This window comes from Homo sapiens, chromosome 13 (genome assembly GCF_000001405.40).
Source record: "Homo sapiens chromosome 13, GRCh38.p14 Primary Assembly".
Lineage (NCBI taxonomy): Eukaryota > Metazoa > Chordata > Mammalia > Primates > Hominidae > Homo > Homo sapiens.
The window spans coordinates 47,761,916-47,770,695 of NC_000013.11; the positions used below are offsets into that span (position 1 = coordinate 47,761,916).

Sequence of the window (8,780 nt, forward strand, 5' to 3'; positions counted from 1 at the left end):
AGTCTAATTCTAAAGCAGGCCAGGAAACTCCCTTAAGCAGTGACCACTTCATTTATATGTTCCCTACTAAGGCTCTTGCTGGTTTCTGAAGATAGGACCTCCTTGGGCACTCTTTGGTCAAAATAGGGTGGGAAAGCAGTGGTGGCCCCAATGATGTGCCTCTCTATTTTCCAGATAGACACTACCTAACTTATGAGACACAACAAAAGTTCAAGGTGGTATGTAACTTGGGTTAGATTGAATTGTAAGACCTTCAAATGCCAGAGTGTTTCAGAGAAGAAAAACACTGGGAAAAGTTTAGAAGTTACTGAGGGACATCAGGACATCAGTAGACATCATCAGCATCAGTTACAGATACCCAAAGAGTAATAAGGTGCCATAAAGACAAGTAAGAGGGAAGAAACCCACAGCACTTGATTCACTCAACTAATAGCTATTGAGTGCTTATAATGTATTGCATCATGCTCTAAGCATTATCATGGCCCCTCTACACTTTGCACTAAAGAGAAGAGGTTTGCTTTCTCACTGCCTGGTTTTGCCACTTCTTGAAAAGCTTATAAAACATACCATACTCCTCTCAGCATAGGATCACCTGTGATCAAAAGAAAGAAGGGTGCTTTGACAACTGTTCCTTACTCCCTCTTAACCCAAGGATACCAAACCAGAACAATTACAGCTCCCCCTTGCAACTTGACCTTGACGTCTAAGGAAAATTCTCAAAGATAGAAAAAGAGGGAGATCAGTGTGGCTCTTAGGAAGTAGGGAATAATGCATGTGGCTCAGTCCCCAGGTAGGTAACCCACAGAGAATAGGTAAAATAAAGGAACCAAGATTTGCAGCCTCATAAGATGGTGGAGGTTGAAACATGCACTGTTCTACTTTCTCCACATGTTAAACTGGCAGTTCACACTGGCTGACCAAGTAAAATATCTGAGTAGGAGAAATGTGACTGTGTCAACCCAACCTTCTAGATCGTATCTACATTCTTTCCCTGCCATAACCCTTCCTGTGTGTCCATGTTATCCTTCCTGGATTCCACGTACTGTATCCTTGAGTTCTCTTCCTATTAAAAAAAAGTTCTCAGGAAAGAATCAGAAAAAGCCATTCATATGACCTTAAAAAACAGGTTGATTTTTTTAATCTTTATTTTTATTGTAGTTTAACAAATTATAGTTGTATATATTTATGGAGTACAATGTGATGCTATGATTTATGAATACAGTGAGAAATAATTAAATCAACCTAATTAACATAGTCATGACCTCAAGTACTTGTCATGTTTTGTGGTGAGAACACTTGAAACTTACTCTCAGTGATTTAGAAATGTGCAATGGATTATTATTTACTATATTTGAAAATTTTAGTGGTGAAAGTTACCTAATCAGTTGTCACTACTGTATCTAGAAACCAATCTTGAAAATGTGTGATGGCTTTTTTGGCGCCATCTACTCATGGAGCCACCGCTGCAACCCTGAGTCACTGCCTGCACAGCTCTGGCCGCCTGGCTCCCCATACTAGCTGCCAATATTTGGAGTTCTTACAACATGGCAGACATTGACAACAAAGAACAGTCTGAACTTGATCAAGATTTGGATGACGCTGAAAAAGTAGAAGAAGGAACTGGTGAAGAAACAAAAATCAAAGCACATCAGCTAACTGTTCAGATGATGCAAAATCCTCAGATTCTTGCAGCCCTTCAAGAAAGACTTGATGGTCTAATAGAAACACCAACAGGATACATTGAAAGCCTGCCTAGGGTAGTTAAAAAACAAGTGAATGCTCTCAAACACCTGTAAGTTAAATGTGCACAGATAGAAGCCAAATTCAATGAGGAAGTTCACAATTTTGAAAGGAAGTATGCTGTTCTCTGTCAGCCTCTATTTGATAAGCAATTTGAGATTATTAATGCAATTATGAACCTACAGAAGAAGAATGGAAACCAGATGAAGAAGATGAGATCTCAGAGGAGTTGAAAGAAAAGGCCATGATTGAAGATGAGAAAAAAGATGAAGAAAAAGAAGATTCCAAAGGAATTCCTGAATTTCGGTTAACTGTTTTTAAGAATGTTGACTTGCTCAGTGATATGCTTCAGGAGCGTGATGAACCTATTCTGAAACACTTGAAAGATATTAAAGTGAAGTTCTCAGATGCTTGCCAGCCCATGAGTTTTGTCTTAGAATTTCACTTTGAAGACAATGAATATTTTACAAATGAAGTGCTGACAAAGACGTATAGCATGAGGTCAGAACCAGATGATTCTGATCCCTTTTATTTTGATGGACCAGAAATTATGGGTTTTACAGGGTGCCAGATAGATTGGAAAAAAGGAAAGAATGTCACTTTGAAAACCATTAAGAAGAAGCAGAAACACAAGGGACGTGGGACAGTTAGTACTGTGACTAAAACAGTTTCCAATGACTCTTTCTTTAAATTTTTTGCCCCTCCTGAAGTTTCTGAGAGCAGAGATCGGGATGATGATGCTAAAACAATCCTTGCTGCAGACTTCGAAACTGGTCACTTTTTACCTGAACGTATAATCTCAGGATCAGTGTTACACTTTACTGGAGAAGCTATTGAAGATGGATGATGATGATTATGATGAAGAAGGTGAAGAAGCAGATGAGGAAGGAGAACAAGAAGGAGATGAGGAAAATGATCCAGACTATGACCCAAAGAAGGATTAAAATCCTTCCTCCCAAAAATGCATACCCTGGCCTAATTGCAAAGAAAACAATTTCCAATTAAGGAATATTATACAAAATGTGTAATCAATACTCAAGGTTTTCAAGTCATTAATGACAAGGAAAGTCAGAAACTGTCCACCAAACAAAGTATAAGAAGATATGGCATCTAAATGTAATGTAGTGTTCTGGGTGGGATGCTAGAACAAAAGAAGAACATTAGGTAAAAACTAAGGATATCTGAATGAAGTATGGATTTTAGTTAATAATACAGGCATATTTCTTTTTATTGCACTTTGCTTTATTGCAGTTTGCAGACACTATAGTTTTTATGAAATGAAGGTCTGTGGCAACCCTACATCAAGCAAATTTATTGATATCATTTTTCCAACAGCATATGCTCACTTCATATCTCTGTGTCAGCATTTTATAGTCATGAAGTATTTTTTAACTAAGGTATGCACATTGCATGTACATAATACCATTGCACACTTAATAGACTACAGTATAGTGAAAACATAACTTTTATATTCACTGGGAACCAAAAAAATGTGTAACTCACTTTATTGTGATATTCACTTTATTGTGGTAGTCCGAAACCAAACTTGTAATATCTCTGTGGTATGCCTATATTAATGTTGGCTCATTAATTATAACAAACATACCATACTAATGTAAGATATTTATAAGAGGAAAAACTGGATGTGGGGCATGAGAAACACATTTAACAATCCAAACTGTGTCTCTGGACTCAGAGACACAAAGAACAGTGGAAGCAAGTCTTTTAATGGTGATCTTGGAAGATCAGGTGTCTGGTAGGCAGGCACATCTGAAGCAGTTACAGCAGGTAATTTATCTCCTAGCATGCAAGTCTCTCCCCCAGGTCCTCATTGGTAGAGTGCTATGGGATTAAAATCTTCCTGGATGTCACCTAGGTTTCATTATCCCCCTTATAAGATTATACCCCAGTCCCTTTCCCTGCTTAAGTTTTGATTTCCCAATAATGAAACTTTTTTCCCTTTTATGGGCTAACCCACCTCTACATTCTGTCCACTTATTGTGACTTTCTAGGTGCATGAGCCGTGTGGTTTGTCACATCCACAGGCTGGTTGCCAGTACATAAGATTTATCATGCCTTGAAAATGGACCATTTAAATGTTTTCTCACAGGGGTATGTGGAAACTCTCCACACAATTTCACAATTTTTCTGCAAATCTAAAGCTATTCTAAAATTTAAAAGTTTCTTAAATGCAGTATCCAGCACACCATAAAAAAGTATGAGATGTGAAAAAAGTAACATATGACTGATAAACAGAAAGTTAAGAAACAGTCAATGAAAGGAAACCAACAGATTAAAAAGTTATTGGAATTAGAATAAAATGACTTTAAATTGACTCTTATAGACTAAATTAACCTGTAAGTAGGTTAAATAAATGGGAGTAAAAGATGAACAAAACGAACAAAAATATGGAGAACTTCAAAAGAGAAGTGAAATCCCTAAAAACTAATTCACGTATATCCTAAGATTGAAAAACATAGTATCTGAAATTAAGAATAAATTGGAAAGGCTTAATAGCAAATTGAACATCAAAGGAAAGGGTGCATGAATTTGAATACTGTCAATTAAATTATTCATACTGGAGAATGGAGAGAGAAGAATGTGGGGGGAAAACACAATGTGAGAGGCACATGGGATAATACCAAGCTTTCTAACATACATGTAATTGGAGTACATTTATTGACTTGCATATGTTGAACCAACCTTTTCAGACATAATGGCCAAGAACTTTCCAAAACTAATTTTAAAAAACCAAACCACAGAGGGTGCAGCAAGATGGAGGAATAGAAGCCACACCATTCATCTCCCCACTGCTGGAACTCCAAATTTTAACAACTATCTGCACACGGGAAAGCACCATCACAAGAACCAAAAATCAGGTGAGCAATCACAGTACCTGGATTTAACTTCATATTTTGGGTTTTTGTTGTTTTTTTTTTTTTGTAGCAGTTGTTAGCATTTAACAAACCTCCATCCATGTGGTTTCATACCACCAGGACTCAAGCCCCACCTCCAACACCCTTAATCCTCTCCTCAGCTCTTCTGCTGAAGAATTTGGCCTTCATGATGACAGGTTGCTTTGGTAGATTTCCGTTTCCCAGAACTCCAGAACTTTGTAGTAGCCTGATCACACCACATCAATGGTGGGAGCAGCTCCAGTTTTGTCTTTAGCAGCATTCACCTGTGTCTGTACACTGACCAAAGTCCACAATTTATCAGGGTTGGCATTTGAGCAGGAGCTCTGGTTCCTCTTTAAGTGGTAACCCTTATACCAACTTTCCCAAAGGAACCTAGGTGAGGTTTGTCAAAGTTGATCCTGTGGTGATGCTTGCCACCAGTATTACTCCTGCCTCCGGAGTGCTTTTGGTGCTTGCTGATGAGGCTGTGGCTGTGGCTTACATGGCCCAGAAGTTTCTGGGTCTTCCTCAGCCTGAATGGTATGTCAGAAACTCTTGGGTTATAGCCTACATTCTTGATTTTTTCCAACCAACAGCATAGCCTGGAGGACATTGGGCTGTCATGTTGGGTTGTCATGGATGGCACCTTATATTCTAGTTGGGCACATGCTGCAATGTGAAACAGTTGCATGGTCTTACCATTTCTCACTATTCTGATGTTTTGTCACTGCTCACATTCATTTCTGAAGAATTCTTGGTTTTAACAGAACTCTGTCTCATTATATCTTCACATTGATATGAAAATAAATCAAGGACAAATATAGTCTCATGACATTAAGTCATAGTTCTTAATTGTGGATATGTGTTCATCAGACTTAGCAGAGGGGTTTTAAATATGCATAAACAGACTTGAAATAAAATTCTCAGTATGGCCCAGGCACATGCATTTTAAACAAGCTCCATAAATGATTTTTTTTTTCCTTCAACTTTTAAGTTTCGGCGTACATGTGCAGGATGTGCAGGCTTTTTACATAGGTAAATGTGTATCATGGTGGTTTGCTGCACAGATCAACCCATCACCTAGGTATTAAGCCCAGCGTTCCTCAGCTATTCTTCGTGATGCTCTCACTCCCCCACCCCCACCCCAAACAGGCCCCAGTGTGTGTTGTCCCCCGTCATGTGTCCATGTGTTCTCATCATTCAGCTCCCACTTATAAAAGTGAGAACATGCGGTATTTGGTTTTCTGTTTGTGTGTTAGTTTGCTAAGGATAACAGCTTCCAGCTCCATCCATGTCCCTGCAAAGGACATTCCCTGTTATGGCTGCATAGTATTCCATGGTGTATATGTACCACATTTTCTTTATCCAGTCTATCATTGATGGGCATTTGGGTTAATCCCATGTCTTTGCTATTGTGAATAGTGCTGCAGTGAACATATGTGTGCATGTATCTTTATAATAGAATGATTTATATTCCTTTGGGTATATACCCACTAATGGGATTGCTGGGACAAATTGTATTTCTGCCTCTAGGTCTTTGAGGAATTGCCACACTGTCTTCCACAATGGTTGAACTAATTGACACTCCCACCAACAGTGTAAAATCATTCCTTTTTCTCTGCATCCTTACCAGCATCTGTTGTTTCTGGACTTTTTAATAATCACCATTCTGACAGGCATGAAATGGTATTTCGTTGTTGTTTTGATTTGCATTTGCTTTTTTTCATATGTTTGTTGGCTGCATGAATGTCTTCTTTTGAGACGTGTCTGTTCATGTCCTTTGCCCACTTTTTAATGGGTTTTTTTTTCTTGTAAATTTGTTTAAGTTCCTTGCAGACTCTGGATATTATACCTCCATCAGATAAATAGATCACAAAAATTTTCTCCCATTCTTTAGGCTGTCTGTTCATTCTGATTATGGTTTCTTTTGCCGTGTAGAAGTTCTTTAGCTTAATTAGATCCCACTTATCAATTTTTGCTTTTGTTTGCAGTTGCTTTTGGTGTTTTTGTCATGAAATCTTCACCCGTGCCTATGTCCTGAATGGTATTGCCTAGATGTTCTTCTAGGGATTTTACAGTTTAGGTTTTACATTTAAATCCTTCTTGGGTTAATTTTTGTATAAGTTGTAAGGAAGGGGTCCAGTTTCAATTTTCTGCATATGGCTAGCCAGTTCTCCCAGCACCATTTATCGAATAGGAAATCCTTTCCCCAGTGCTTGTTTTTGTCAGGTTTGTTAACGATCAGACAATTTTTAAGTGTGTGGTCTTGAGTTCTCTATTCTGTTCCATTGGTTTATGTGTCTGTTTTTGTACCAGTATCATGCTATTTTGGTTACTCTAGCCTTGTAGTATAGTTTGATGTTGAGTAGTGTGATGCCTCCAGTTTTGTTCTTTTTGCTTAGGATTGTGTTGACTATTTGGGCTCTTTTTGGTTTCATATGGGTTTTAAAATAGTTTCTTCTAATTCTGTGAAGAATGTCAATGGTAGTTTAATGGGGATTGCACTGGATCTATAAATTACTTTAGGCAGTATGGCCATTTTCATGATATTGATTCTTCCTATCAATGATCATGGAATGTTTTTCCATTTGTTTGTGTCCTCTCTTATTTCCTTGAGCAGTGGTTTGTAGTTATCCTTGAAGAGGTCCTTCATTTCCCTTGTTAGCTGTATTCCTAGGTATTTTATTCTTTTTGTAGCAATTATGAATGGGAGTTCATTCATGATTTGGCTCTCTGCTTGCCTGTTGTTGGTTTATGTGAATGCCAGCAATTTTTGCACATTGATTTTGTATCCTGAGACTTTGCTGAAGTTGCATATCAGCTTAAGAGGCTTTTGGGCTGAAACAATTGGACTTTCTACATATGGTATCATGGCATCTGCAAACAAAGATAATTTGACATCCTCTCTCCCTATTTGAATATCCTTTATTTCTTTCTCTTACCTTATTGCTTTGGCCAGAACTTCCAAAACTATGTTGAATAGGAGTGCTGAGAGGGCATCCTTGCCTTGTGCTGGTTTTCAAGGGAAATGCTTCCAGTTTTCACCCATTCCCTATAATATTGACTGTGGGTTTGTCATATAATAGCTCTCATTATTTTGAGGTATGTTCCTTCAGAACCTAGTTTATTGAGAGTTTTTAACATGAAGGGGTGTTGAATTTTATCAAAGGCCTTTTTTTGCGTCTATGGAGATCATCAAGTGGTTTTTGTCTTTAGTTCTGTTTATGTGATGAATTACATTTATTGACTTGCATATGTTGAACCAACCTTGCATCCTGGGGATGAATCCAACTTGATCATGGTGGATAAGCTTTTTGATGTGCTGCTGGATTCAGTTTGCCAATACTTTATTGAGGATTTTCGATCAATGTTCATTGGGGATATTGGTCTGAAGTTTTCTTTTTTTTGTTGTTGTATCTCTGCCAGGTTTTGTTAAGGATGATGCTGGCCTCATAAAATGAGTTAGGGAGGAGTCCTTCCTTTTCAATTTTTTAGAATAGTTTCAGTGGAAATGGTACCAGGTCTTCTTTGTACCTCTGATAGAAGTCAGCTATAAATCTTTCTGGTCCTGGGCTTTTTTTGTTGGTGGTGGTAAGCTATTTATTATTGCCTCAATTTCAGTACTCGTTATTGGTCTATTCAGGGATTCAATTTCTTCCTGGTTCAGTCTCAGGAGGGCGTATGCATCCAGGAATGTTTTCATTTCTTCTAGATTTTCTAGTTTATGTGCATAAAGGTATGTATAGTATTCACTGATGGTTATTTGTATTTCTGTGGGGTCAGTGGTAATATCCCCCTTATCATTTCTGATTGTGTCTATTTGATTCTTCTCTTTTTCCTTCTTTATTAGTCTAGCTAGCAGTCTATCTATTTTATTTTATCCAAAAAACATCTCCTGGACTTGTTGATTTTTTGAAGTTTTTGTGTCTCTATCTCCTTCAGTTCCACTCTGATCTTGGTTCTTTCTTGTCTTCTGCTTGCTTTGGGGTTTGTTTCCTCTTGATTCTCTAGTACTTTTAGTTGTGTTGTTAGGTTGTTAATTTGAGATCTTTCTAGCTTTTCGATGTGAGCATTTAGTGTTATTAATTTCCCTCTTACCACAGCTTTAGCTGCATCCCAGAGATCTGGTACATTGTCTCTTTG

At 37.9% G+C, this 8,780-nt stretch overlaps 2 pseudogenes; one reads left to right on the forward strand and one right to left on the reverse strand.

The window, feature by feature from the left end:
* Positions 1,644–2,657, forward strand: NAP1L4P3 (nucleosome assembly protein 1 like 4 pseudogene 3; annotated as a pseudogene).
* RPL27AP8 (ribosomal protein L27a pseudogene 8) lies at positions 4,688–5,183 on the reverse strand (annotated as a pseudogene).